This window comes from Homo sapiens, chromosome X (assembly GCF_000001405.40).
Source record: "Homo sapiens chromosome X, GRCh38.p14 Primary Assembly".
NCBI lineage: Eukaryota > Metazoa > Chordata > Mammalia > Primates > Hominidae > Homo > Homo sapiens.
Window position 1 is genome coordinate 17,040,636 of NC_000023.11, and position 14,369 is coordinate 17,055,004.

Here is a 14,369-nt window from a genome sequence, read left to right on the forward strand (position 1 = left end):
GGTCCTTTTCTTCATTTCTCATTGAACACTTTCCCCACAATTTTACTTGAGCTGTCTTTTCTTTTTAACTGGGAATCTCCTTCAAATCCATGGAAGATGAACCTATATTACTCAAACACAGAAAGACTACTATAAAAATGAATCAGCATCCTGGTCCTATAGATTGTCTGCATAGATAATCAAATTAGAATGAGAAAGTTGTTTGGGCTCATAATGGTCTAATGTCATTGGTCAGATTGCAAAACCACAATAGCTTCAGGCTTCCATCTCCAGGATGGGCTTTGTGGTTGTGAAGGGCAGATCTTCCTTTCCTTTGGGTCTTGCTTGAAGGATACATTCATTGAGGGAACAGCTGCTATAACAAATAGGCCCCACATTTTAATGACTTTGCACAGTAGGTATATTTCTCACTAATATAATAGTTTGGCAGGCCGCTGTCCTCAGCATGGTGATTCATGCACCAGAGCTCCTTCTGTCCTGTCACTGTGCCATCGTCTGTTCAGTGGGCACATAGGAAAGAGAGTAGAGGAGTGCTACAGGGTACTAGTCCTGCTTGGAAGTAGGGTAGGCCACTGGTGCTCACATTGCAATGGCTACAACTCAGTCACATGGCTGCATGTAACTTCAAGGGAGGCTGGAAAATGTCATTTCTGGTTGGGCAGCCACTTAGTGACACCTCTACACCAGGCATAGTAGAGCATGAATTATTGGAGGAGTCTGCTGTAATCCCACCTATCAGCACTGCCACCACTTGCTTCTGTGACTTTTTTTTCTCAGCCCCATGACTGACCAATTTCCTTGATCTTTCTTTAGACAAATTGATATTCACTTGGGCTATAGTGTAGTCTCACCAGCCCATTAGCTATCCTTTTCTTTACAGTAGTCAAGTCTTCTCACATCTTTGCTAATGAGATCGTTTTGATCAGCAATTGCCTTGTGGTAGTCTTATTTCCAAAATATTTTTGGCGGAGGAGGCATCCTCAGATATTCACTGTGGGCTTAGTATGAGCTTTTGCTACTCCAAATAGTTTGTTTACTAAGGCACTAACAGGACACTGTTAAAAGATCATTACCCCTCATAGGTGAAATGGCTGGACTCTAAAACAGCATTTATAGGATGCCTTCGGGGTAGGTTTATATTTTAAACAGAAATGTTCTATGATTGAAACAATACACACACCCTTCTTAAGTTCTCTCCAACAATGCTTCCTTGCAATTCATATTATTTAGCTTTGTTTGATTTTTAAGATAGTTTGATAGTAGGGGTAAATGTTACCTTTTGGGATTTTATTAATAGTATTACTTTTTAATGAGTCTTTTGAAGTCTTTCATTATAAACAGCCTGCTTTCCCCAGAGATAATAACTTGCCATGCCAAATATTTGCATTTCACTTGAAACAAAACCAAGGGGTTGAATGTTTTAAATATAAGCAAATCTAATTCTCCTGTGTCTAGAGAAACTGTATAATGAACCATATGTATGTGGCTTAAGCAGACAGATGTGAAAGATTTCTCCCTCTCTCCTTTTATTTAAAAAACAAAACACTGGCAGAGCTCAAAATTGGCACCAAGTAGCAAACATCTCTGCTCAGCCAACAAAACCACTGGAGCTGGAGTTGATGGGGGGAGGCCTCTTTAGGGTGCATGCAAAAGTGGAGCTTTTCCTGGTCCTGGCTTCTACTTGGAAAGCTAAGGCTCCACAGCTTATTTGCCCTCATTTCTCAGTGCCTTCAGGCTTCAAAATGAGCCATTCTCAGGTGACTGACTTTTCAGATCTTTGAGAAGATTGTTGTGGTTGATTGTTGGACTGGTTCAGAAGACATGGGTCCACGCATCTGGGTCCTGCGGTGACATGGCCTCTAGCTGCTGACAGAGTGGTGCTGAGCTACCAAACAGACTCATAGGCTTCCTTTCACAAAGAACATCATAGGGCAGTGTTTCCACATCTCTTGCAATACAAGACATACCTCTGAACTTCCTCAAGCTTGCCAATAAGTAGAGCTCACACTACCTTTTAGTATCTGTGATGTACCTGCCAGGGACTATAGGTGGGATAAAGTATCTGATATGGCTCCTGTCCTTCACATTGAAACCTGGGTGAAGATGTTTAGGAACACTTTAAATGTTCAAACTGTGGTACTTACCATGACTATCATAAAGATTCATATATATTTTTTTGAGACAGGGTCTTGCTCTATCACCCAGGCTGGGGTTCAGTGGTACGATCATGGCTCACTGCAGCCTTGACCTCCTGCGCTCAGGTGACTCTCGCACCTCAGCCTCCTGAGTAGCTGGAACTACAAGTGCATGCCACCATGCTTGGCAGTTTTTAAATATTTTTTGTAGAGATGGGGATTTGCCATGTTGCCCAGGCTGGTCTCAAACTCCTAGAGTCAAGTGGTCTGCCTGCCTTGGCCTCCCAAAGTGCTGAGATTATGGGTATGAGCCAACATGCCCAGCCAAGATTCATATTTTTTAAGACGCTCAAATCACTTGGCTTAGTAAATCAATTTCAAGCATACAGCGAGAAGCAAGGGGAAAGAGATGGGGGGGTAGGTTAGCACACTTAGTGCAAACCAGTAGAAGGGCCACTCTATGGGTTACACAGAACTCATGTGCCCTCTCCCTTTGTCCTAAGGCCTTTCTAGGTTTAGGAGTAGGAACTCTCCTTGCCCACTTAAGTTTTCTTGGAAGAGGGGTTGGGTTCTCATGGGAATCTAAGAAATGAGAGCCAAGGAATGGCCCACTGGTCTGTAGGGGTGGGAGTTCTTGGCTGTTCATGCTTGTTCTACTGTTAACAGGCCTTGCCCTGGTTGTGTTAAGTTTGCTCCACTGTCCACTTATCTTTAGGCTTCTGCAGCCTTTCTTGCCCCCCCCCCCGGCTTTGTGTCCTTTCTGTACCTACCTCCCAGCTTGTGCTGATGCTTGGTTCTGGCGCCCTCATAACTTTAAGTCCCACCTACCCTTTCTCTATACTACAGCCCCACTGAGCATCTGTTTAGGGTCTACTTTCTCTTCTCATTGGCCTTGATATTTCTCATCCACATTCCCAAGAATGAGCATCTGACCTAAGCCCTTGTCAGAGCATCTCAAAGGCCAGTATACTGTGTGCCCATGAACCCTTACTCCCACTCAGGTGACGCCAGGTGTGAGGTGGGTCATGGTGCCCACACAAGGCTGCCAGGCCCACCTTTGCAGCAGAGCATGGGAACGAGCAGTGCCGTCTGTCATGGCCGTGGGTACGGCAGGTACATTGGAGGATTTGAGCAGGGGAAGAGTGTTCTGGGAAGAAGACAAACATCTTACCCCTGAGGAGTGAGCATGTGCAGTCGGAAAGCCTGCTGAGAGGAGGCTGGGGTGCGAGGCTTCTGAAGGCCAGGTGGAGGAGGTGGACTTTTCTGTTAGGCAGCAGGTCATCTCTGCAGGCTTTTAAGCAGAGGAGTTAATCACCCCCTTCTGTTCATTCCTGATTTCTGTTGTTAGAGTAGACCTGAGACCTGCCTGCTAAGAGGCCACTAATGCCACGCTGGAGTGAGGTGATGTCAAGAGGAGCTAGAAAGCAGATGGTTATGGCATTGAGGAAAGAGCACACATGGGCTGACAGGGACAGCTAAGCAGCAGCTTCATGAGCAGGAGGGAAAGGGCGTGTTCTAGGGGAGCAGCAGCTTCCATGTCAGACTCAGGAATGCAGCAGACCCAACATCCAGCTTGGAGATTTCTTCTCTTTTTCTTTTTTTTCAATGGAACTGTATTTTCGCAAAATGTTACAGATCACTTATAGCAAACAGAATGGTGATGGTCAAGGAAACTGACTCTGGGCTCCTTTTTGACCGCAGCAGCTATGTGGAAGCAGCTGCAGCTGTGATAAGGGCCGCCCAGCATGGATATTTCTGTGTCTTCGTTCACTGGGAAGTGGAGGGACAGAGCTTCCGACCCACATCCCACCTTCTTCACGAATCATCTTTGCCACCAAATCGTTGGCTCATAGGTGTCTGTTCTTGTCTTTCCTGCCCATGCCTGGCTTTTAGGTTCCTTTGCTCCAGCTCTTTCTGTCAGGGCTGACCTGGAGGGCAGTGCTCCTGTGAGTTCTCCACATTATATCATGGCCGGTAATCTAATCCAATTCAAGCTGACATTCTCCACCCTATGTTCTACCAATGGAACCTGGTCAGACATCTGGGCTCATTCAGGAAGTGCTGCTAGGGCATGGCTCTGGAATTTGGTGGGAGTATTTTGGAAGGTTGTGTGGTCTGTTTGGTTGTTTAGTGCTCGGACTGGATTTTGATTTTTTTTGCTTTACTTATTTTTACTGAGACGGAGTTTCGCTCTTGTTGCCCAGGCTGGAGTGCAATGGCGCGATCTCGGCTCGCTGCAACGTCCACCTCCCAGGTTCAAGTGATTCTCCTGCCTCAGCCTCCCGAGTAGCTGGGATTACAGGCGCCTGCCACCACACCTGGCTAATTTTTTGTATTTTTTTAGTAGAGACGGGGTTTCACCATGTTGGCTAGGTTGGTCTTGAACTCCTGACCTCAGGTGATCCACCCACCTCAGCCTCCCAAAGTTCTGGGATTACACGTGTGAACCACTGCTCTGGGCCTGTTTATTTTTATAATAATAAGAGGTTTTTGAAAAAAATTCAGATAGATGCAACCCAGTTAAAAAAAATCCCGGTATACAAAATCCTGCCTTTGAATAAGAGATTAAAAAAAGATGGTCATTATTTGCTGCCTGCAGGGGTTCACTAAGGGATATGGGTAAGTTCCCTTAGCTCGGAAAAAGGATAATAATTAATACCCGCTTACATCTCCAAAGTCTTGAGGTGCTCAAACAAGTAGGAGTGTGTGAAATGCTTTGTACATATCAAAACACTCTGTGAAATTTAAGGTATTAACTAATGGATAATGACTTCTTGAACATTTAAGAGTGGTTTGATTTACGTTTAGTAGAAACTCATCTAGTATGAAAATGATACATTTATTACAAATGATTAACAACCCTACAGCTCTCAACCTCTTTATGTAACCTTCCTTCTGACTAAAGGACCCAGATGACTTTGAGGAATAGCCTGTTTGCTGGGTGCATTCTCACTCAGCACTTCTGGAAGTATCCATTCTACAGTTAGTATTTCATCTCATTGTCCTGGCCTTCCGAAAGCACCCTTAACCCAAGGTGTGAGATATCAAAGTAATACATATTTTACTTCAGAGATGACATCTCAAGGTTTTACAGTAGCTCAACATTTTCTAGTCTCCTTTCTCTGAACATTGTCAGAGGGGAGACAGGCGTTCCTGGGAAGAATTAATTCCTGGAATGGTGTGTGTGTGTGGGTGTGGGGAATGGGAGGAGATGGCCGGCCTTCTTTTCTAGGGTTAGTGGGTGGAATTGCCCGCCCAATGATTAATTCCCTCCTTGACAGTGTGTTCAGAAGCAGGCACCTTGATGGCTCTTTAGCAGCAATACCCTCCTCTTCTTTCCTAGCCTCCTTTTGTCATAAAGCCTCATCTTTTTTATTTATTTTTATTTATTTTTTTTTTTTTGAGACAGAGTCTCACTCTGTTGCCCAGGCTGGAGTGCAGTGGTGCGACCTCTGCTCCCAGGTTCAACTTCTGCCTCCCAGGTTCAACCTCTGCCTCCCAGGTTCAAGTGATTCTCTTGCCTTAGCCTCCCGAGTAGCTGGGATTACAGGCACGCACCACCATGCCTAGCTAATTTTTGTATTTTTAGTAGAGATGGGGTTTCATCATGTCGGCCAGGCTGGTCTTGAACTCCTGACCTCGTGATCCACCTGCCTCGGCCTCCCAAAGTGCTGGGATTACTTGCGTGAGCCACTGCACCCGGCCAAGCCTCATCCTTCTGGTGTTCACCTCTTGGTCCTGTTAAGGTGGCCCTTGGCAAGTACCTCTTTAGTCTTAGGGTTCATGGGAGGGATAGAACAAAGGCCCACGCCTCCCCCTAGCATCGACATTTCCCTTCGTCTGCCAATGCCTACCATAGCTTTGTTTTCTCCCGCACTGCTTCCCTGGTTTTCTAGGCTCTTAAATCCTCAAATTTGACTTGCATGCCCTCTAGTGGCAGGTCTGATGCACCCCTTGTTACCCTGTTTATTGTGGTACCATAACAGCTGTTCTCACCACCCAGCTCTGTTACTAAATATTGTCTGTAATTCACAAATGCCAAATGAGAGGTTCAGTGGTCCTGACTTGCCACTCAAGTAGGAGCTGGAAATGTGGGATTTGAATTGGAGCTTTTGATTCCTGGATTTATACAGCATTTCAGTGTAACGGCAACAGTAAAAAAGATGTGGTTATAGTTGTTCTAGTTTCTTTTTTGTCATTTAAAAAGAATCCAGATTATTTTACTATCCACTCAGCTAATCTGAAAGAATGAAAATGTGAGGAATAGTGGAAAATAAGAATGATCATCTTTTTTTAAACCCTTTATTACAATTAGAAATTTTTTTGTCACTTACTGAGTATTCAGTATTTCATGCCTCAGTCCTGTTAACTTTGAAGAATACAAAAAATACATAAAGCATGATGTCTGCCCCTAAGTTTCTGTTCTAGTTAGATTCTAGTTATGAGGCAGTTAAATTTCTTCACCTGAGGAAAAAAATTAAGCATAACACATGATAACTTTTATTGGTGTTTAATTTTTCTACTTCTCACTAAAGACAGGTTCTCTGAGCATTTACTTTTTAATTTATTCTTACAGTCCTTTTCAGTGGAGAGGGAACTACAGGATAACAGCAGTTACCCCGACGAACCCTGGAGGATAACAGAAGAACAGCGCGAGTACTATGTCAATCAGTTCCGATCCCTTCAGCCAGACCCAAGCTCTTTCATTTCAGGTAAGAATGTGGGCTCCCTAGGCATCACTCTCACCAGAACATAGCCACCATCTTGAGAAATCATTCACGCAAAATGAGTATGGCAGCCTTCTGTGATTTCAGTTTGTTTTTCATCTAAAGTCGAATTTCTTATCAGATGTAAACCATGCAGAAGAAAAGTTGCCAATGACGTTTGGAAAATTATATTTCCATTTCAAAGGGCTTAAGTGGGAATTTGGGGGCAACTTGGCCCAGACCCTGCACCTTATCAGCTGAGGCAGTTCTTGAAATGCTAGCGTGTCGCCCCAAGGGGCCACCTCTCATTGCTTCCTCGTTATATTAGAGCTCGGGCAAGGACAGAATGTGGCCTCCTAAGGAGTTGGTGTCACAAGTCTTTTTATGTTATATGTGCCTTCAAACTTCAAACTCAGGCTCGTTTTCTTTGGCTCAAATGTTTGTCCTCCAGTTTTTCTGAGAGAAATTAAAATGGGGGAGGAAAATTGGCCAGTGCTTTCCCACTTGTCAGTTCTTCTGGGTTGTCTTCAGATATATAGATTCCTGTTGAGTTCTCATGTAAAATTCAAGCTCAGAGGAACTGGTTTAATGCCAGTGTGGCTACATTTTACCAGGCTGAAAGACTAACAGTGAAATAGTAGAGTCTAGAAGAAAAATTCATAAAGCTTTCTTTTTAGACTTTAAAATTTGAAGAATAACAATATGTCCTTAATAATTGTAACCTGCCATATTGAAGTGTGGGCAAAGATTAGTTTTATCTTGTGAAATGAGGCACATAATTGAAATATACTTGTATAAGTAATTGCAAACATCATTTACTGATTGGTGGTAATGGCTTTATTGACGGCAGAATAGTACAGATACAACAAATTAATGTTGACGTCATGATTAAGGAAAATAAGCAGAAACCCATATTGCACGATTTGACCACTTGCTAACCTTACCCCGTGCTCAGGTGAGTTTCTTTACGACATGTGCAGATATTTAGCCAAATACAAACAGGTACTTGTTAGAAATGTTTTTGTTTTCTTTTAACTTTTGTATCTTGCAGAATTTCAGATATAGACACAACTAGTCTGGCTGATACAACAAACCTCTGTGTACCTATCACATAGCCCCAATGATTTTCTCTTACCTACAGTTAACACATAAGGTTGTTTCAGTCAGTCAATGATGGCGGTACCATAACAGTATCACGGAGCTGAAAAATTCCAGCTCCATTAATCACCTAGTGATGCTGTAGCCATCATGATGTTGTAGCACAAGGCAGTGCTCACATAAATGTGATGATGCTGGTAAAAACAAATCTGTGCTACCAGTCGTATAAAAGCCTAGCACATATGATTATGTACAGTATATAATACTTAATAATAAATGGCTATTATTAGCTTATTATGTATTTATTATGCTATACTTTTTTTCTTTCTTTTCTTTTTTGAGATGGAGTCTTGCTCTGTCGCCCAGGCTGGAGTGCAATGGCACGATCTTGGCTCACTGCAGCCTCCGCCTCCCGGGTTCAAATGATTCTTCTGCCTCAGCCTCCCGAGTAGCTGGGACTACAGGTGCATGCCCCACACCAGGCTAATTTTTGTATTTTTAGTAGAGACGGGGTTTCACCATGTTGGCCAGGCTGCTCTCAAACCCCTGACCTCGTGATCCACCCACCTCAGCCTCCCAAAGTGCTGGGATTGCAGGCATGAGCCACCGCACCTGGCCTTTTATTATGCTATACTTTTATTGTTATTTTAGAGTATACTCTTACTTATATATAAAAAAAAGTTAACTGTAAAACAGCCTCAGGCAGGAACTTCAGGAGGTATTCCAGAAGAAGGCATTGTTATCCTAGGAGGCGGCAGCTACCTGCAGGTTATTGTCCTCTTCTAGTCACCTCCACAGTATAGAGGTGGAAGACAGTGTTATTGATGGTCCTGACCTTGTGAAGGTCTAGGCTGATAAGTGTTTGTGTTTCAGTTTTTAACCAAAAAGTTTATACGTGTTTGTGTTTCAGTATTTAACCAAAAAGTTTAAATGGTAAAAAAATTAAAAATTTTAAAAATAGAATAATAGAATAAAGATATAAAGAAAGAAAATATTTTTGTACAGCTGTGCAATTTTTTTAAATTTTTAAATTTTTGTGGGTACATAGGTGTATATATTTATGGGGTACATGAGATGTTTTGATACAGGCACACAATATGAAATAAGCACATCATGAAGAATGGGGTATCCATTTCCTCAAGCATTTATCTATTAAGTTGAAAACAATTTGACTACACTCTTAAGTTATTTTAAAATTGTACAGTGTGTTTTTGTTTTAAGCCAAGTGTTATTACAATGGAGTCAAGAAGGTTAAAATAAATTTTAAAGTTTATGAAGTAAAAACTTACACTCTAAGGTTAATTTATTATTGATGAAAGGATTTTTTTTTTTGGTAAATTTAGTGTAGCCTGAGTGTGCAGTATTTATAAAGTCTACAGTAGTGTACAGTAATGTCCTAGGCCTTCACAGTCACTCACCACTCACTCTCTGACTTACCTAGAGCAACTTCCAGTCCTGCAAGCTCCATTCATGGTAAGGGACCTACAAAGGTGAACCATTTTTCATCTTTTATACCATATTTTTACTCTGCCTTTTCTATGTTTCTTCTTTCTTTCTTCCTTTCTTCCTTTCTTTCTTTCTTTCTTTCTTTCTTTCTTTCTTTCTTTCTTTCTTTCTTTCTTTTTTTTTTTTTTTTGACAGGGTCTTACTCTGTGCCTAGGCTGGAGTGCAGTGATGTGATCTCGGCTCACTGCAGCCTTGACCTCCTGGGCTCAAGTGATCCTCCCACCTCAGCCTCCCTAGTAGCTGGGACTGCAGGTGCACATCACTATGCCTTGCCTGGCTAATTTTTTTGTAGAGAGGAGGTCTCACTATGTTGCCCAGGCTGTTTTCTATATTTAGTTGTGTTTAGATACACAAATAGTTACTATTGTGTCCCAACTGCCTATAGTATTCAGTACAGGAACATGCCGTACAGGTTTGTAGCCTAGGAGCAATAGGTTCTACCATCTAGCCTAGGTGTATAGTAGGCTATACCATCTAGGTTTGTGTAAGTACACCCTGTGCTGTTCGCACAATGAGGAAATCACCTCATGATGCATTTCTCAGAACGTATCCCTTTTTCTAGAAATGGAATCTCATAATATGTGGTCTTTTGTGTCTCTTTCATTTAGCATAATGTTTTAGTTTTTTTTTTAATTAAAACATTTGTGTGGGTACATAGGTGTATATATTTATGGGGTATGTGACATGTTTTGATGCAGACATGCAATACATAATAATCACATCATGGTAAATGGGGTATCCATCCCCTCAAGCATTTATCCTTTGAGTTACAAACAATCCAGTTACATTCTTTAAGTTATTTAAAATATACAATTAAGTTATTGACTATAGTCACCCTATTGTGCTATCAAGTAGTAGGTCTTAGTCATTCTTTCTAACTAGTTTTTTGTACCCATTAGCAATCCCCGCCTCGCCCCTACTCTCTCCCTGCCACTACCCCTCACAGCCTCTGGTAACCTTCCTTCTACTCTCTGTGTCCATGAGTTCAATCATTTTGATTTTTAGATCCCACAAATGAGAACATGCGATGTTTGTCTTTCTGTGACTGGCTTATTTCACTTAACATAATGATCTCCAGTTCCATCCATGTTGTTGCAAATGATTGGATCTCATTATTTTTTTTTAATGGCTGAATAGTACCCCACTGTGTATACATACCACATTTTCTTTATTCATCTGTCAATGGACACATAGGTTGCCTCCAAATCTCAGCTATTGTAAACAGTGCTGCAGCAAACATAGGAGTGCACATATTTCTTTGATACACTGATTTCCTTTCTTTTAGGTATATACCCAGTAGTGGGATTGCTGGGTCATATGGTAGCTCTAATTGTAGTTTTCTGAGGAACTTCCAAACTGTTCTCCATAGTGGTTGTACTAATTCCCACCAACAGTTAGCATAATGTTTTAAAGGCTCATTCATGTTGTATGTACCAGAATTTCATTCCTTTTTATGGCTGAATAATTCCATTATATCAGTACATCCCATTTTATTTATCCATTCATCAGTTGATAGGCATATGGTGTTCTTCCACTTTTGGAGTATTAAGAATAATGCTGATTTGAATATTTGTGTACCAGTTTTTATGTGAACATATATTTTTATTTCTTTTGAATACATACCTAGGAGTGGAATTGCTAGATCAAACTGTACTGGGAGCTGAAAGCATTCAAATTCAATCTCAGTAAGGTCTAACATTTCAAGAACAGCTGGGTCTTGCAGTTATGTAACATGTAAAGTGGAATGATTGCCTGATTTCAGTTGATACAGGTAAATCAACAATGAAGGAAGAAAGATTCCTGGATAAGTTTCTCAAAATGCCACTAGGAATTCTTAAATCTCACCAAAAGCTTTCCCAAGATGTCTGTCTTATCTCTGTGTGGTGTGATCAATGGTATTAATTTTCTTCTTTTTGGTCAGTTTTCTATTACTTTTCTATTTGAAATTTCTATTTGAAATCTGCCAAATTTGTTCAAAGTTTTGAACTTCGTCTTCTAAATTTTTGGAAAAATTTTGCAGATTTTGGTAAAAATGAAGCAGAAATTAATTTATGTGATTTGCATCTTTCATGAGCATTATGTTATTGCTTCTTTTGCCCTATTGTAATTTACATATTTTTAAAAAAGCTATTCATGTGTTGCTTTTGGTCCCATGATTCATAATTGCTTTGAGGAATAAATATGTTTGTGGTTATACAGAAGAGATTGCTGAATGAAAAAATTGTGATTCATTTGTATATAAATGTAAAAGCTACTCTAGCTGAGTAATTAATGGTTTATTTAAACAATGGCACTTGACAGGTTCTGTGGCCAAGAACTTCTTCACCAAATCAAAGCTTTCCATTCCAGAACTCTCCTATATATGGTAAGTACAATTAATGCCATATGACATTCATACCATCATCCATAACTCATCCTTTAGTTCCTACCTTTGCATTTTTTAAAGGCTTATGTTTTGAATGATGTTTTTAACAGACTACAGGAGTGAATACAACTCAGATTTTTGTTGCTGTGAAAATTAAATGTTATATGAAAAGTACAATGAACAATGTCTGGCACGTATTAAGCACTATGAGTGTTAACTATTATTTTAAAGTAATTTCCTAATTATTATCCCCATCTCAATCCCTTTTCAGTCTAGGCAGTTGTGGGCACATGAGACTTACCATCCTGTAGATTTCATTTTCAGACTTTTCTGCTAGGTGTGATACAAGTAACCAGAGGAGCTTGACAAACTATTTTTTATATTTTATAAGGCTGAGTGAACAGAAGGTTGAGGAATATTTTGGAGTTAGGTTAGATTTGACTATTCTAGCTGCCTCTGAGCTTTGCAAATTTGGCTGGTGTTTATCAGTTGGGCCCTAATTCAGACTTGCAGCTGTGGTATCCACTGCACCTTTATGCACTCTGGTTCCAAAAGGGCTATGCTGGGATGGTCCAGATGGCTCTATTTGCATTCATGAAAATGCTTGGTGCTGCTGTAAACTCTCGGCTGTGTGTGGGCTAGTTCTTCCCCAAAACTGGGCAGGAGATCGCACTGCTATAAATATATAATTAAAAACATTATAATGTTTATATAAAGCTTTTTGCATGAGGATTTACAGAATTATGATAGGATTTAAAATTGCTTGTCATGTTTTGTGCATCTTATTGGAAAACTACTCCAATAATACTCATGCATGTCAATGTATCTGGGATTCTGAGCTGGATTTAGGTTCTTCAACAATATATACTCTGGCATAATTTTTTTGTTTTTACAAGCCTTATATTAGTTTTGTTTTTGTTTTGTTTTTTGTTTGTTTGTTTGTTTTTTTGGAGATGAGGGCTCACTCTGTCACCCAGGCTGGAGTGCAGTGACATGATTATAGCTCATTGCAGCCTCTGACTCCTAAGCTCAAGCGATCCTCCTACCTCAGCCTCCCAGCTAGCTTTTCATTTTTTTCTAGAGACAGGGTCTTGCTATGTTGACCAGTCTGGTCTTGAACTCCTTGCCTCAGGCAATCCTCCTGCCTTGGTTTCTGAAAACTCTGGGATTACAGGCATGAGCCACCATGCCCGGCCCTTATATTAGATTTTCTGGCTAGGGAAGAATAAAGAAATTATCATTTTGAAAAGAATACCATTTGTTTTGGCAGAATTCCCAGTCTAAACATTGTTGGCATGAGACCTCCTATCTTTTTGTTGAGACACGCCTATGAAAGCTGAATGGTATTCTTTCGATCTGGCGTATGAAGCAGTTTCCTGACCCCTCACTCTGGGGAACAGCTATTTCAGGGCCCCAGTGCATTCGAAATTGGAGGAGGAGGATGTAAATGGTCTAAAGGAAAGTTATGGAGCTTACCTTAGAAATATATTTTCTTTCAAATAGTAATACCTTTCTAGAATAATTTTGTATTTGTCTTATCTCTATGCTTGTCCTAACACAAGTACACTTGTCCCTGTCTACCTAAGAGATGGTTAAGCTTATGGGGTCTTAGATATAATACTTTGGCAAATAAGTTTCTTTTGTGCTGAGTAAATAGGTCTGTGCCTTTTAGTGGGAAATAATGACTGAAGTTAAGCCTGTTTGAGACTCCCCCTTTCTTCCTTTTTGTCTTATCTGGTTCCAGTCAGCTTTAGTTACTAGTTTTATCCTAAAACATAATTCATTCCATTTTTTATTGAGCTTACTTGTGTTTTCCCAGGAGGGAGTTCTCAAGCAAAGAACAGTTTGGTACAAAAATTTACGTGACTTGAAAAGTTCACGGTTTTCCTTTAAAGCTGAAAAACAAAGAGCTTATTTCTGTGCTCCAGGTAAACTGCATAATGGCTAGGACAACTATAAAATGGCTGGGGCCACCCTTCCTCTGACTGTTTTGAACACCATGTCCAGGGCTTTTCACCCCATGCAGCCTGCATTTACTGAATGACTGTGGACTTCTGGGTATCATTTTTATTTCTGTGCCATAGTTTCTTGTCCTATGTCCTCAGTGTTGTAAGACACACCAACTAGGGAACCTGAAGAATTTAAATTTTTATTTATAAAATGCTACTGATGCTGATCCCATCAATCGGCATTTTTCTTCCTCGGAGTGGCCCCCAGAGATTTCAAATGGATTTGGCTAGGAGGGTTTGGGTATCTGGTAGGGCCATCACCACAGAGTCTGGGAGTTTTATTGGCACGTTTGGGCCAAGTAACTTGTTCTGTAAGCCCCATGGTAGGTACTCATGACATTTGTTTCATTTAGGGAGCTTAGTGATGCTGACTGTGATGGAGCCCTGACCCTGCCTGAGTTCTGTGCTGCGTTTCATCTCATTGTGGCTCGGAAGAACGGCTACCCATTGCCTGAGGGCCTCCCTCCAACTCTGCAGCCAGAATACCTGCAGGCAGGTAAGGCCTCACCATCAACTGTAAACCTTAAGTACTTTTCCTCCAGGCTGTGTA

At 41.0% G+C, this 14,369-nt stretch overlaps 1 protein-coding gene and 1 non-coding gene across 18 annotated transcripts in view; one reads left to right on the forward strand and one right to left on the reverse strand.

The window, feature by feature from the left end:
• The window catches only part of REPS2 (RALBP1 associated Eps domain containing 2), a 249,998-nt gene that overhangs the window by 93,978 nt on the left and 141,651 nt on the right, over positions 1-14,369 (forward strand). For all 17 annotated transcript variants that reach the window (XM_017029956.3, XM_011545603.3, XM_011545606.3 and 14 more), the window contains 3 exons: positions 6,712-6,847; positions 11,747-11,810; positions 14,173-14,315. In XM_017029956.3, the coding sequence (XP_016885445.1) occupies positions 6,712-6,847; positions 11,747-11,810; positions 14,173-14,315 (343 nt within the window). The remainder of the gene's footprint in view (positions 1-6,711; positions 6,848-11,746; positions 11,811-14,172; positions 14,316-14,369) is intronic.
• LOC124905266 (small nucleolar RNA SNORA16B/SNORA16A family) lies at positions 3,745-3,876 on the reverse strand. Its single transcript, XR_007068422.1, has one exon. It is a non-coding gene; the product is annotated as a small nucleolar RNA SNORA16B/SNORA16A family (small nucleolar RNA).